Here is a 15,526-nt window from a genome sequence, read left to right on the forward strand (position 1 = left end):
GTACCACTGTACTCCAACCTGGGCAACAGAGGAGATCCGCTCTCAATAAATAAATAAATAAATAAATAAATAAAACATCAATACTAATCAATACCAATACTGTCAATACCAATCCTACCAAAAAAACAGAAGAGGGTTTAACACTTCCCAACTCATTTTATAGAACAGTATGACGAGAGATAAAACAGGCAAAGATATCAAAAGAAAACTACAGACTAATATTCCTTATGAATATAGACACAAACACTAGCAAACAACTTAAAACAATGCATAAATGGAATTACACACCATGAGTAAATGGAATTTATCCTAGGAATTCAAGGGTGGTTTGGCAACAATCAATGTAATAGACACCATATGAATAAAGTACAAAAACCATGTGGCTTCCCAATAGACGCAGGAAAGAAATTTGAGGAAACTCAACACCCTTTCATAATAAAAGGATGCTCAACAAACTAGAAATCGAAGGAAACCTCCTCAGCCTGATGCTTATGTTTATGGTCAATTGATTTTCAACAAGAATACTATAACAACTCAAAAGGGAAAGAATAGTCTTCTATTTTTTAATTTAAAAATTTTTGTTTTTTCCAGGTTTATTGAGGTATCAATGATAAAAATTGTATATATTTAGGTTATACAATAGGATGTTTTCATATATGTGTAGATTGTGAAATAATTACCACAATAAAGCTAATCAGCACATCTATCACCTCACAGAATTACCATTTTGTGTGCATGAAGAACAGTCATTTAAATAAATGATGCTGGAACAAGTGGACTTCATGCAAAAACATGAAGTTGAACCCCTTTCTTGCACTACACTAACACAAAGACTAACTCAAAATGGACCACAGACCTTAGTGTCATAACTGAAACTATAAAACTGTCTGAAGAAAACACAGGTATAAGTCTTCATGACCTTGGATCAGACCATGGTCTCTTAGATATGAACCAAAAGCACTAGTAATGGAAGAAAAAAGTAGATAAATTGGCTACATTAAAATTAAAACTTTTTTGTTGCAAATGATACCACTAATAAAGAAGACAACATACAGAATGGGAGAAAATATTTGCAAATCATATATCTAATCTAACGAGGGACTAATATCCAAAATAAATAAATAACTTTTACAACTCAATAATAAAAAACCCAACTGCAGATTAGTGAAGGATTTGAATAGACATGGTTTTAAAGAAGTCATGCAAATGGCCAATGAGCGCACGCAAAGATGTTCAACTTCATTATCCACCAAGAAAATGCAAATCGAAACCACAATGAGACATCAGCTCAAACCTGTGAGGATGGCTAGATGAGAAAGATAGATGATGTAAAGATTGGAGAGGATGTGAAGATATCGGAACCACTGAGATGAGGAACCAAGGAAATGCATACTTTCCTGATAAGGATGTGAGATGGTGCAACCATGTGGAACACAGTCCAGCAATTTCCCAAAAAGGTGAACACAGAGTCACCACACGAACCTGCAGTTCTACTCCTAGGCACAGACCCAAGAGAAACAAAAACACATTCACGCCAAAGCTTGTACGTGATTGCTCACAGCACAGTCTGTATCAGTCCTTTCTTGAACTGCTATAAAGAACTACCTAAGACTGGGTAATTTCTAAAGAAAAGATGTTCAATTGGCTCACAGTTCTGCAGGCTGTACAGGAAGCATGGCTGGGGAGGTCTCAGGAAAGTCACAATCCTGGCAGAAGGTAAAGGGGAAGCAGGCACGTCTTGCATGGCTGGAGCAGGAGGAAGAGAGTAAAGGGGGAGGCGCTACACACTTTTTTTTTTATATTTTTTATTTTTATTTTTATTTTTATTTTGTTTGAGACAGTCTCGCTCTGTCACCCAGGCCGGACTGCAGTGGCACGATCTCGGCTCACTGCAAGCTCTGCCTCCCGGGTTCACGCCATTCTCCTGCCTCAGCCTCCAGAGTAGCTGGGACTACAGGTGCCCGCCACCATGCCTGGCTAATTTTTTGTATTTTTAGTAGAGACGGGGTTTCACCGTGTTAGCCAGGATGGTCTTGATCTCCTGACCTCGTGATCCGCTTGCCTCGGCCACCCAAAGTCCTGGGATTACAGGCGTGAGCCACTGCACCCGGCCTACACACTTTTAAACACTCAGGCTTCCTGAGAACTCACTGCCACAAGAACAGCGAGGTGGATTCCACGCCCATGATCCAATCACTCCCACCAGCTCCCTCCTCCAACATCGGAGATTACAATTCTACATGAGATTTGGGTGGGGACACGAATCCGAACCATATCAGAGTCATTCACAATCACCCAAAAGCAGAAACAACCCAAATGCTTCCTATCCGATGAATAGATAAATAAAGCATGATCTACTCAAACAATGGAATAGTAGCCACAAAAAGGAAAGCAGTGGTTTATGCTGCAGCAGGAATAAACCCTGAAACCACGACGCTGAGTTAAAGAAGCCGGACAAAGGAGGCCAGGTAGTGTCGTGCCTGTCTACAGGACACGTCCACAGAAGTGGACAAATCTACAGAGACAGGAAGAAGATTAGGGGTTGCTGGGGCTGAGGGTACGGGGTCTGGGTGCATGGTGAGGTCTAAAGAGCACGGGGTGTCTTGGGGGTAATACAAGTGTTCTCACATTCATCGTAGTGAGGATTGTACAACTCTGAATATACTAAAAGCTGTTGAATTACACACTTTAAATAAGTGAATTTTACGGTAAGCAAATTATATCTTAAGACATTAAAAATAATAACAAAGGACGGAACTCACACATCTTCTTTAGACAGAAATGTAGTCTCACTGCAGCAAGTATGGCTTAAACCTGCTTCTGAACCGTGCACAGTTGTAGGCCTGTCTCAAGTGTTCCGTCGTTGACTTGTGTCCCGCCTCGCCGGGCAATGATGTATGTGTGGAGCGCAGTCATGTTCTTTGTTACGCAACACAGTTTTCACCTTGGGCTAAGATGATGTGATTCTTCCAAGGTTTGTGGCAGAAATCCCATTTAATAAACTGGTCCAGATTTCTTCATGCCGTAAAATTGTTTAAAGAAGTTATTTATTCTGCCTAGCAAAGGATATTATTTTTATTCCATTTTCATCCATTCTACAATAGAAAATATACTTCACACTTCACAGCTTTCTTCTACACATATAAATCTTTTGAACATGTGAATCGTTTCCACACACCCTCCCTGGCCTTCTGTGTTGAATTTTCTTTGCCATTTTCTCAGGGAAAGGAAGCTGCATATTTCGTGGCTGTTTTAAAGATGAGCAAAAATAGACAGCACAGAATTGTCTGTAGAGTCTGACATACAAATTGCTGGGAGTTAGGCCTGAGTCTACTTGGAAATTGTGATGGTTAAGAAAATCCCATTCTCTGACAATTCTACTCAGAGCCAACTATTGAGGACCTGGGAACTTATGGCTTGAAAGGGAGTGACCGGGGGGCTTCTCTAAAGACCCTACTTGTCTCCTGAGCCACGTCCTAGCCTCTGCCGGGTCTGCAGGAGCTGGGGTGGGGTCATTGTGAGTGGGTTCTTAGGTGAAGAAATGCACATGAACTCAGCTCTGAGACACTAATAACATGGTGCCCAGTGCACCTGCTGCAGGTACAAAGGTGAGCACCAGACAGAGCTCCCCGGGACAAAAACTGAACACAGTTCAGAGACACAGTTCCCTCCGAGAAGTGATGCTCTGCCGGGGAATAATTTTATTATGAATGACCTTGTCAAGGTCCTCCTAAACATGGAACTGTGGCTGACGGCCTGCCCAGAGGGTGGCCTGCCTAGAGGGTGTTCCAGCTGGCGTCTGTCTCTCATCGCGATGCCATCCTCATCCTGAGCCCCTGGACTCCTGTCCTGTCTCTCAGTTGCAGAGTGAAGATTTTGTTTTTTATATTTGCTGATTTATATCACATCATGGAGTTTTTGGTCTCTTAATCTCGGAGGCTGTCCAGGGAGAGCTAAGGAAATGCTGGCGGTTGGAACCTGTTCATTCTTGCCTAGAGTAAGGTACCTTCCAGGGCCAGCTGGGACCCTCTGGAACCCCAACCCGAGCTGTGCCGTGGAGGAGGAAAGCACAGCTTGGCCTGGTACTCACCAAGCTCTCGTCATGGTGTCCGACACTCCCTTCTGTCTCCTCGGAGGGCCAGGCTTCCGTGCTCTGGGCTCCAGCAGGACGGGGATGGACGTATCCCTAGACACCTGCATCAGTCAAGGTCATGGATATTGGGAAGACAGACAGCAGCAGACCCAGGTCTGAGCTCACATGTAGCCACTGATGTGCTGTGTGACCTGTACCATTGGCCCAGGCTCTCTGAGCTTCAGACTTCCCACCTGGAAGTTGGAGATAAGAACACTTACCTTACAGGATTGAAAAGGGGTGTATAACAGGCCAGGGGCTGGCAGACGAAGGGCTTGAGTGAATGACAGCTCCTTGTCTCCCATTCCTGGACAGGAAAAGTCTGCACCTCACTGAGAGCCTCGACTTCACATGCCAACTTCAACAAACTCTCACTGCCCCTCTCCCAGGGGTCAGGCATTTGCGCTATGTTATATCGTTAACTCCCAGCACAGCCTTCTAAGGTACTACATATGACCGCCATCATTTTCCACACCAGGCAAGTTTTACAAAGCGTCAGTGCCTTCCCAGAACCATGTGGCCAGGGGGTAAGAAGATGGCTCTCCAGCCGCAGGCCAAGCACCTTGTCCTGTCCATTTCACTGGCCTTCACGGAGGTCCGGGGTGCCTCCCTGCACCACCTGAACCCGAAAGCAAGGCCACAGGGCTGTTGCTCACCCCAGGGCTCCTCTTGGCCTGAGAGTTCCATGTTCAGCCGCAGGGGAGTTGCTGGCCCCTGGTCTCTGCCTTTTCCTTGGAGAAGCCTCCATCCAACTGTGTGGTCATAGCAAAGAGCCAGCAAGGGTCTGACAGGCTGGGGAGCCCAGGAACAGGAGGGTGAGGACCAAGCTCTGGGCAGATCCCAGCTGCCTCCCCTAGTCCCCTCGGGAAGGGGAGGCCCAGCAGAGAACACAGGGGCCGGGGGGGCCTGGAACGTGCTGAGACCACAGTGCCGGACACTCCCAGCTCAAGGGGCAGCAGCAGGGGCGCCTTCCTGAGGAGTGAGAAGCCAGCGGCCCCTCCCTTCCATTCTCAACTAAATGGCCCTCTCTCTGACCCTGCCCGAGACCACAGAGGAAGGAAAGCAGGTGCCATGAGGAAGCAACATGGCTTCTTGAGACTTTATAGATGGTTGATTATGAGGCTCTGGAAGTGCTGTGTGTGGAAATTACGAAACTACTTGATGTTATCTGCAGGCTAGCCAGGGCCCCAGGCAGGCAGAGCAGGGTGGAACCCTGGCCAGGGCCCCTGTGTCAGCTCAGAGCTGGCTGTGGGTGGACCTGCATCCCAACTGTCTGCTGTGGAAATACTACTTTACTGGGAGTTTCTCTTGAAGTTTGGTCATAACTTTTGGCCTCTTGAGAGTGACGATCTCATAAACAGGACCGCTGTGATGGAGAGCAGGGCCTCCGCCTGCACCTTCCTGGCAACTACTCCCCTGCAGAGGGCATGTGGCTGCTCCCCAGTCCCCAGGCAGCTGGCGACCTTGGCCAGGCCGATCAGGGTGACCCCAAGGGGCTGGGAGGGGCATGGGACCCGAGAGGACTCCCTGGTGCCTTCTGGAACTCCTGGGGTGATCAAAGGCTCAGGGCTGCCTTTCTTAACATTCTGAAGTCAGCCTCAGGATGCGGGTTCGCAACACAAAGCAAAGCCAGAGGAGGACGATGAGATGGGAATAACACCCTGTGGGCCTTCCCCTCATCCCCACCCATACCCTCACGTAGTCCCTGAAGCTGCAGCCCTGGGGTGAAAATCCTTCCTGCTTCCCTTTCAGAAGCTTTCATGAACGTTTCCTCGGCTCCCCCAATGCTGAGGCAAACAAGCCCCCTCTCCCAGCTCCCCTGCTGTGTGCCCTCCTGCAAGCCCTTCCGCTCACGAACCTCGGGGTCCCAGGACCACCCCAGCTCAAGGTCAACATAAAGACTAAAGGAGGTGGGAGGGAGGGCCCGGCACCCACCAAGCTGGCTTGAATCCATCAGCATCCTTTGTTCAGAAGGGCTCTCGGGGCCATGCAAACCCAGACAGCAGGACTACAGGCCAGGTCAGGACACAGTCCGAAGGTTGGAAATCATTAGGGACAAGCTCCTTTCTGTGAGCCCAGTCACATGACGATCACACATGCCAAACTGAGCACACGTGATCATACGGTCCCACCCAGCACCCCCTTCCTAGCCACACTCAGGGCTTTATAGTGGCAACAAAAATGGCCAACAGGCTACCCCAGGATGCAGGTGGAACACACAGATGACCAACTACATGACGTACAGCTGACTCACACCCTCCCGTGACCACCCACAGAGACAGAGCTGACTCACACCCTCCTGTGACCACCCACACACACAGAGCTGACTCACACTCTCCTGTGACCACCCACACACACAGAGCTGACTCACACCCTCCTGTGAGCACCCACACAGACAGAGCTGACTCACACGCTCCCGTGACCACCCACACAGACAGAGCTGACTCACACGCTACTGTGACCACCCACAGAGACAGAGCTGACACACACCCTCCTGTGAGCACCCACACGGACAGAGCTGACTCACACCCGCCGGTGACCACCCACAGAGACAGAGCTGACTCACACCCGCCTGTGACCACCCCAGAGACAGAGCTGACTCACACCCGCCTGTGACCACCCACAGAGACAGAGCTGACTCACACCCTCCTGTGACCACCCACACAGACAGAGCTGACTCACACCCTCCCGTGACAACCCACACAGAGCTGACTCACACCCTCCTGTGAGCACCCACACGGACAGAGCTGACTCACACCCTCCTGTGAGCACCCACACAGACAAAGCTGACACACACCCTCCCGTGACCACCCACACAGACAGAGCTGACTCACACCCTCCTGTGAGCACCCACACAGACAGAGCTGACTCACACCCTCCCGTGACCACCCACACAGAGCTGACTCACACCCTCCTGTGACCACCCACACAGAACTGACTCACACCCTCCTGTGAGCACCCACACAGACAAAGCTGACTCACACCCTCCCGTGACCACCCACACAGACAGAGCTGACTCACACCCTCCTGTGAGCACCCACACAGACAGAGCTGACTCACACCCTCCCGTGAGCACCCACACAGACAGAGCTGACTCACACCCTCCCGTGACCACCCACACAGACAGAGCTGACTCACACCCTCCCGTGACCACCCAGAGCTGACTCACACCCTCCTGTGACCACCCACACAGACAGAGCTGACTCACACCCTCCCGTGACCACCCACAGGCAGAGGTGACTCACACCCTCCTGTGACCACCCACACAGACAGAGCTGACTCACAACCTCCCGTGAGCACCCACATGGACAGAGCTGACTCACACCCTCCTGTGACCACCCACACAGACAGAGCTGACTCACACCCTCCTGTGACCACCCACACAGACAGAGATGACTCACACCCTCCCGTGAGCACCCAGACAGACAGAGCTGACACACACCCTCCTGTGACCACCCACACAGACAGAGCTGACTCACACCCTCCCGTGAGCACCCACACAGAGCTGACACACACCCTTCTGTGACCACCCACACAGACAGAGCTGACTCACACCCTCCCGTGAGCACCCACACAGACAGAGCTGACACACACCCTCCTGTGACCACCCACACAGACAGAGCTGACTCACACCCTCCCGTGAGCACCCACACGGACAGAGCTGACACACACCCTCCTGTGACCACCCACACAGACAGAGCTGACTCACACCCTCCCGTGAGCACCCACACGGACAGAGCTGACACACACCCTCCCGTGACCACCCACACAGACAGAGCTGACACACACCCTCCCGTGACCACCCACTCAGACAGAGCTGACTCACACCCTCCTGTGACCACCCACAGACAGAGCTGACTCACACCCTCCCGTGACCACCCACACAGACAGAGCTGACACACACCCTCCTGTGAGCACCCCACATGGACAGAGCTGACTCACAACCTCCTATGAGCAACCACGTGGACAGAGCTGACTCACACCCTCCCGTGACCACCCACCACCCACATTGACAGAGCTGACTCATACCCTCCCATGAGCAACCATGTGGACAGAGCTGACTCACACCCTCCTATGATCACCCACATGAGGCAGAGGTGACTCACAGCCTCCCCCGCTGGACATGGCCTGAAGCTTGGCTCTGGGAGGAGAACAGGGGTGCCTGCGCCATCCTCTGCTGTGTTTAATGCCTGGGTGCTGCCCACACACTGGTGGTGCCCAGCCCCCGTGCCCCTGCTCCACCTCTGTGAGTGTGAAAGTGTCAGGAGTTGGCTGTTCCAGACCCAGTGAGGTGGTGAAGCTGACTCAGCTGCCAGAGGGAAGACAGGAGGCTACTCAGAGAGAGGTGTGCGGGGCAGGGGGCAGCCTGGTCATGCAGGCGGGTGAGGATGGGGGGATGTGCCCTGGGGTCTGTAACCTGAGCGGGAAGTGGAGGGGCCTTAACAGTCCGATGTCTGCGCCAGGAAGTGGTGACGGATTGGGCGAGAAGTCTTGAGGCCTGGGTGTGTCCTGAGAATTTCGGTCTCTCCTCCCACAATAGACACTGCCAGGGAGTGGGGGCAATGCCGAGAGTTTTTTGTTTGTTTGTTTACATCGTGGTAAAATATACACAACATAAAATTTACCACCAGAGCCCTTTTTCAGTGTGCTGTTCAGCGGCACTGAGCGCTTCACACTGGTGCAGCCGTCCACACCATCGTCTCTGGAACGTTCTCAGCTTCCCGAGAACTGCCATGTTTACAGGCACTGACTAATTTTCTAGGATGACCTGGTGGGGTGATGTGAAGGTTTGCAGGTGCCGCCCCCCGACCCCCGCCCCAGGCCTTTGCTCAGTCAATGCTGTACTTGTTTCTAGAGGAAGATTTAAAGCCCATTCTCCGCTCTGGAACGCAAACCCTCCTCTTTTCCCAAAGGTGCTTCCTGTCCTTCCAGGGCTGGGTCAGACATCCTATGCTGCTTAGAACTCCCAAAGCACCACAGCCGGAATAGACTCGAGCTGCGTCTCTGCTTCCCCAGGACACAGGCTCTACTCTCCGACTGGCAGGGCTGCGAGTCCCACTGAAACCTTTGTGCTCAGGAGAGGAAAACTTTGTGGGATAAATGAATAAGGGAGGCTGTGACTTTTCCTCAGTCTTGAATTTTGATGTTGTAGTGATTTGTCCCGGGGTCTCATTTTTCTATTGTGTGTCGTGTTTATCTTGATAACATCTGCTTTTGAGATAGTTTTTCTCAAAACTATTGTTGCTTTCATCCAGTCTTGCTGACAATTTCTAATTAGCAGTAAAAAAAAAATAATAATGAATGCCAAGGCTGCAAGAAATGTTTAAAAATGATCTTTTCTTATTTCAGATGAAAAGAAAGTGAAAGATCAAATAGACCAAAGGTTCTTAAAGCCCATGTTTTAAAAAAATGTATGCAGCTCTAAAATTCAATGTTTTTTATTTCTCATCTTTATAAGAACAAATTTATGAACATTGTTTTGGGGACAGTGACTACTAGAATAGAATAACAAAAGGTAAGTATCCAGAATACTTAAGGAATTTACAAAATAATAAGAATAAAGTGAAAAACCCAAAGAAAGGGGCAGACGTTATGAACATAAAATTCACAAACAGGAAGCAGGAGTGGCCACAAGCCACGGACACGCTCAGTCCCACCAGTGCTCAGAGACACACAAACTCAGACAGGTGAAATGGACAAAAATTCAGATCATCAGTGGGTAACATAACGCCCAAGTGGGTGACTTTGCCCTGGGGGACATTTGGCAATGTGTGGAGTCATTTCTGGTTTCATAGCTGGGGGTGTCGTTGTCATCTGTGGGTGGAGACCACGGATGCGGCTCAACACCCCACAGTGCACAAGACGTCCCACGGTGCACAGGATGCCCCACAGCAAAGAGCCGTTTAGGCAAAACCATCAGCAGTGCCAGACAAAGATGCCGAGACGCAGGGAGGGAGGCAGATCGGCCAGAGCTCTTGGACGCTGCTGGTGGCCTGAGAAACGCACAACCAGTGTGGGGCCCGCGCGGGGCCGCCCAGGACAGACGGAAACCAGTGTGGAAACCAGTGTGGAGCCACCGTGGTGCTGCCCAGGACAGACGGAAACCAGTGTGGAGCCCGCGTGGGGCCGCCCAGGACAGACGGAGGCTGTGCACACCCTATGGCCTGGCGACTCTGTTCTGAGGTTCACACCTTAGAAAACCCCTCACATTCAAGCACAAAGAGGCACAGCTAAAAACGTGTATTGCAGCATTGCCATAACAAAAAATGAACACGTCCGTCAGGGGAAATGGATCAGGATGCACTTGTATGATGCAGTATGTGCTGCATTCAGCGAGGTACTCACAACAGCATGGGTAAATCTCAAAAACACAGTGTGGGAAGAAAAGGGCCCCCAAAGTACAGCAATATTTATAGGGAGTTTTAAAGCCCTCAAAACAATATATCTTCCTGGGAGAATCTCAAGGATATTTCTCAGAGAAACAGAAAAACCCACCCTAAATTCACATGGAATCTCAAGGGTTCCTGATTACCCAAAACAATCCTAAAAAGAACGAAGCTGGAGACTCACATTTCCTGATTCAAAATTTTACTGCCAAGCCACAGGAATGAAAGCATCACCGTCCTGATATAAAGGTGGTGTATGGACCAAGGGAACAGAGGCGAGGACCCAGAAATAAACCCTCAAACTCAAGGTCGAATGGGCTTTGGCACAGGTGCCAGGATGGCAGGACTCCTCAATGGGAAAAGACAGCCGCTTCCACCGATGGTGCTGGGAAACAGGACATCCACACGCAAAGGAATGAAATTGGCCCCTACTTTACAGCTGACAAAAATCAGTGCAAAGTACATCAAAGACCTAAATGTGAGACCTAAACCTCTCATAAGGAAACACAGGGAAAACTGCCACGATGTTGGATTTGGCAGTGACTTCTTGAAGGTGACACCAAAGGCCCAGGCGACAACAGAAAAAGCAGACAGCGGGACTGCGTGGAAACAAAAACATTTCGTCCATCAAATGACATTAAGAGTAAAACGGCAGAGCACACAATGGGGAAAATATTTACAAATCATGCATCTAGTAAGGGGTTAAAAACCAGAATCTATAGAGAACTCCTAAAACTCAAAAAAAAAAAAAAAAAACAAACAAAAAAAACCCTGATTCAAAAATGGCCAAAGGACTTGAATCAACATTTATCCAAAGAAGACACACAAGTAGCTGATAAATCCACGAAGCGGTGCTCACCTCACCCGTTGGGATGGCTGCTATAGAAACAAAACACAAAGGCAACGAGCGAGCGTCGTGGAGCGCTTGGAACCCTCGTGCACTGTTGGCGGGAATGTGAAATGGTGCAGCTACCATGGAAGCTCCTCAAACAAGTAAACATAGAATTGCCACAGCATCCAGCAATTCGTCTCCTGGGCGTACACCCAAAACACTGAACAGGGTCTCGAGGATACGTCTGCACACCCATGCTCAGGGCGGCCCCGTCGGGCGGGCACCTTCAACAGCAGGTTTGCTTGCGGCTCACTCCAGCTCTAAGCACAGTGCCATGCGTGCAGTAGGTGCCCACTGTGTGCGCAGAAGGACAGCTGGCGGAGCAGCCGGACCAGCCCCCACGATGGGTGGGGGGCTGCCGTGGGCACCCACTCAGCTGGTCCCGGGTGTGAGAGGGGCCGCTGTGACACTGAGTCCCACGCGGGATGACCTTGGCGACCGGAAGCCTCTGCACTTCCAAACCCCGCTGAGCAGCCCAGGTCAAGCATCAGAAAATCAGGGAAAGGTTCTTTTTTGTCTCTTAAGAGTTTTGCAGCTCTATAGCCTCTCTCCTTCCAGGAATCAGGTAACAGGGCAGCGTCCCGCAAGGACCTTGGGAGCTGGGGCTGTGGCTGCCCTCTTGGTGCCTCTGGGGAAGGAAGGAGGGAAAGGGATCACGGTGGCCGTCGGAGTTCCCTCCTGCAGCCTGGCCACCCGTGGCTTCAGACCGCACCTGGGGGTGTCCCAGGCTTTGGACACTCAGGGACGTGGACTCAAGGGGTTGCCGGAGCCACTCAGCTAAAAAAAAAAAGCACCTCACCAGGAGTGGGCGTGGCCGCATCTGCCTCTCCCTGTGACCATTTCATGGTGACCTCTGTTCAGGAAACCCCCCGAGGACAGGCCCCTCAGCCTCAGGAAAGAGCCAGGAAATACACATCCGAGCTTATGAGTTTCCCTTGAGTTGCGTCAGGTCCATAGAGAAAACAGGCGTCTAAGTCTGTGATGGAGCCCCCCACACGGGTTTATCCGGGTATAACGGATAAACGCCAAGCCCGGGCCGTTGGGACCAGCCTGAGCTTCCCTCCAAAGTCCCCGCAGGGCTCATCACCACTAACAATAGTGACAGCTAAGGCTGGCTGTGAGAGGGGCTGTCTAGGGCGTTCACCTGCACCAACGCCCCACCCAGTCCCCACCTGTCCTCCCTCATACATGGGTGGTCTTGGGAGCCCAGATCACAGCCCGCAGGCGGCACAGCTGTGGTCGACCTGGACGTAGTGGCCAGCCGGCCCGGCCCCGACCTGCCAGAGGACCCTGCGGGATGTGTCCAGGGACTCCCAGCAACCCGTCCCTGCACCCTCACGCTCACCTGTCATGACTGGCTTCCCAAGCAGGGTCCCTGGAGGCTCTAGCAACGGGGTGTGAGCACACTTGTCACCATCGAGTGGGGCCGACGCTCCCCCAGCGTGTGTGTGTGTGTCCGTGAGTCTGTGGTCCACATGCGTGCTGCACCCCACAGCAGGGACGGTTGGCTCACCAAAGTTTGTGTTCAACCAACTCTGGATCCAAAACGCAGCAGGTCCTTCAAAGGTTCACCCCATTTAACTTGCAAGCGGCTCTTACGCGGCAGGTGCGGTGATTCCTCATCCTGCGAGCCGTTCAACCAGGGCGAGAAGGCCTCCGCCTCGGCAGAAACAGCCCAAAGCTGCACCTTGCCAGGGCCACCTGGTGCAACGAGGCTGTGGGCTCCTTCATGCCATCTCTCAGAGAGGCAAAAGCTGGGATCCTGTTAATAGCATTCTCTGTGGAAAACACTCAGCCTGGGGCTAATGTCTGGCGCGCTCTAAGGCGGCTGAATCCCTGCGCCCCGGCCACCTCCACTGCCCTGGGCCGAGCTGAATCCCTGCGCCCCAACCACCTCCATGGCCCTGAGCCGAGCTGGGCGTTCACAGCCTCCCTGAAGCTCAGCTGCGTGGCCACGTGGGGTTGCACGTCAACTGGGAACTAGGTGCAGCCACAACCAGGGAGCCAAGGCCTCGGATGTGTGGAAATCATTGATGGTTTCTGCTAGAGACTGTCCTTCTGGTCACGGGATGCCTTTTCATCGTTCCTCCCTCATAGAAAATACTCTTAGCTGTTCCCAAAGGAGACGGCCCAGAGTGCCTTCCTCTCCCGACTTTAGCTCAGAATCGGGGCATCTGCCTGGGTTCTGCCCCACGTGGGCCCAACAGAGTCTCCTCACGGACGGAGGCCTGTGCACTGAGCACAAGCCCTCCACTTACCCTCAGCCCTGTCCACCAAACCCTCAGCACTGTCCCACCAAATGCACAACAGCAGACAGGACACCTACAACAAAAGCGCAGTCCAAATAAAGGGTCGCTGCTGCAGTGGCTGTGCAGCCTCCGACACTGTGACCTCTGGGGAGGAACGGTGCAGACCTGGCCTCGGCAGGCAGCTCCCTGATGAGGCCCCAGACGTGCTCCCCTGAGGGGCCAGGAGGGATGCTCTGGGCTCTGCCCTCCCGTCCAGAATCCTCCATGACTTCCAGGCCACGTGTTGGGAGTCACCTTCTGAGCATTTCCCAGCCTGCACAGCCCACTTTCTGCAGGGTCGGAGGGTTGGTTCAGGACTTCCTTCTCAGCATTTCCCAGCCTGCACAGTCCACTTTCTGCAGGGTCGGAGGGTTGGTTCAGGACTTTAAGCCAGATTGCAAACGCACCGAAGGCGTCCAAACCAGCTCACCAAGCCTGTTCCTTGTGCAGTGACCACACCAGGGCTGCTTCCTGTTGCCTGAAGGCTAACGACACGTTTCTGCTTCTCTCTTCTCTCTGCAGCCACTGTGGCTTCTCTGGGCCCATCGGGGCTGTAGTTGTGTCAGCCCTGCTGGAAACAGGCTGGATCTGGCCACACTCATTCTGTGAAACACCCGGTGGGGTTCTGCAACCAACAGCCTCGTCCCCGGCATCCTGCATTCCTAGCTGCTTCCCAGAGCTGCCACCCTGGGACCTCAGTGGCCTGAGTGGGTAAAAGCCACAGCTGTGCCTGATTCTGCGGCTCCTGGGCTACACGTTCCTCTAGCCCCATGTGTCTCCTCTCATGCTGCCCAGCATTCCATCCTCACCACGTGCTTGGGGTTTTGCTAGGGCAGCTCGCCACTCCTGGGGTGGATTTCTGTATCCCTGCAGAGCCGGCTCGCCTACAATCAGAGCCCCACATGCCTGTTGTGGCTGTTTCTCCCGTGGAGTCGTCCAGGGCCCAGCTCCTGCTGTCTGGCTCTGCTCATGGCCACTGCAGATGCTGAATTCAAAAGAAGAGGGCAGGGAAGCTGTGTGGGGTGCTCAGCTGTGAGGATGACCTCACAGGGCCACAGAACCTAGTGGGGTAGGGCAACACAGCCCCACCGTGTGCCTGGGAGCAGGAGGAAAGCTGGGGGGCATCTGGCAGTTCCTACCACAGAAGCCACGGCTGCTCAGTTGGGGAGTGGAGCAGCCGGGAGTCAAACAGTGCTTGCCTGACGTCCAGACCCCGCTGTAGTCACCAGCCGTGCGAGAGCACAGCAGCCAGGGTCCTGCTCTCAACATGTAGCCTGCTCTGGCCACTGCAGGCAGCCGAACAAAATGCAGGGGCCAGGCTTTCTGCTGAGGACTTTGATTCAACAGATGCACCTTTAACAAGCCACTAAGTTCTGTGGACTGCTTTGCAGGGGCAGGATTTGGTGAGGAAGCAAAATAATGACTTTACACAGAAGCCTGTTCTCTAGGAGGTCCTGAGTCATTTACATCGGTGACCTGGGGCAGCAGTCAGGCTGCGGGAGCACAACCCAGGCAAAGCACCTGCTGAGGAAGGGCCCAGCATCCTGCAGAAGCTCCTACCACGTGTGGGGCGCCTGGCCCTTGCCTTGGCGTTTCTTATCTTTTACTTACATCTGTGATTTCAGAGCCTCCCAGTGTCCTAAGACCTTGCTTACAGGGCTTTGGGCTAGTTCCAACATTCCTGGGGCTCGATGGGAAGCTCAGCACCAGACAGCCACGCTTGGGCACGTTCAGACCCTCAGCCAGCACGGGCCATGTTCTTCGGAGAGGAGGCCTGCTTGAGATACAGCTTCCGTTACAGTGCGGTGGGCAGGTGGGCCGGTCGTGC

The 15,526-nt window shown here is 52.3% G+C and overlaps 1 protein-coding gene across 13 annotated transcripts in view, besides 3 other annotated features; it reads right to left on the bottom strand.

The window, feature by feature from the left end:
- The window catches only part of ERICH1 (glutamate rich 1), a 116,479-nt gene that overhangs the window by 8,167 nt on the left and 92,786 nt on the right, over window positions 1–15,526 (bottom strand). For 2 of the 13 annotated variants that reach the window (XR_007060707.1, XR_007060706.1), the window contains 2 exons: window positions 12,756–14,683; window positions 9,555–12,038 (listed from right to left, as the gene is read on the bottom strand). The exons of 3 other annotated variants lie outside the window; for them this stretch is intronic. Coding sequence is in view for 3 of the 10 variants with exons in the window: in XM_006716234.5 (XP_006716297.2) it covers window positions 15,295–15,526 (232 nt within the window). In the remaining 7 variants the exon portion in view is untranslated. Of the gene's footprint in view, window positions 1–2,762; window positions 4,327–9,554 lie in introns of those variants that run through there. 8 more of the 13 variants (XR_007060714.1, XR_007060710.1, XR_007060715.1 and 5 more) reach the window with 8 other exon arrangements.
- Window positions 6,131–6,674: an enhancer, noted in NCBI's record as "H3K27ac-H3K4me1 hESC enhancer chr8:579043-579586 (GRCh37/hg19 assembly coordinates)". NCBI's record gives its function as "activates a minimal SCP1, AML or CMV promoter by ChIP-STARR-seq in naive H9 embryonic stem cells {active_cell/tissue: H9 hESC(naive)}" and the evidence as "EXISTENCE:reporter gene assay evidence [ECO:0000049][PMID:30033119]".
- Window positions 7,561–8,760: an enhancer, noted in NCBI's record as "P300/CBP strongly-dependent group 1 enhancer chr8:580473-581672 (GRCh37/hg19 assembly coordinates)". NCBI's record gives its function as "activates an origin of replication core promoter dependent on BRD2, BRD4, P300/CBP, MED14 and CDK7 cofactors, with strong dependence on P300/CBP, by STARR-seq in HCT116 cells {active_cell/tissue: HCT116}" and the evidence as "EXISTENCE:reporter gene assay evidence [ECO:0000049][PMID:35650434]".
- Window positions 8,044–8,093: an enhancer, noted in NCBI's record as "active region_26943". NCBI's record gives its function as "activates an Ori minimal core promoter by ATAC-STARR-seq in GM12878 lymphoblastoid cells {active_cell/tissue: GM12878}" and the evidence as "EXISTENCE:reporter gene assay evidence [ECO:0000049][PMID:35858748]".

Source organism: Homo sapiens, chromosome 8 (genome assembly GCF_000001405.40).
Source record: "Homo sapiens chromosome 8, GRCh38.p14 Primary Assembly".
NCBI lineage: Eukaryota > Metazoa > Chordata > Mammalia > Primates > Hominidae > Homo > Homo sapiens.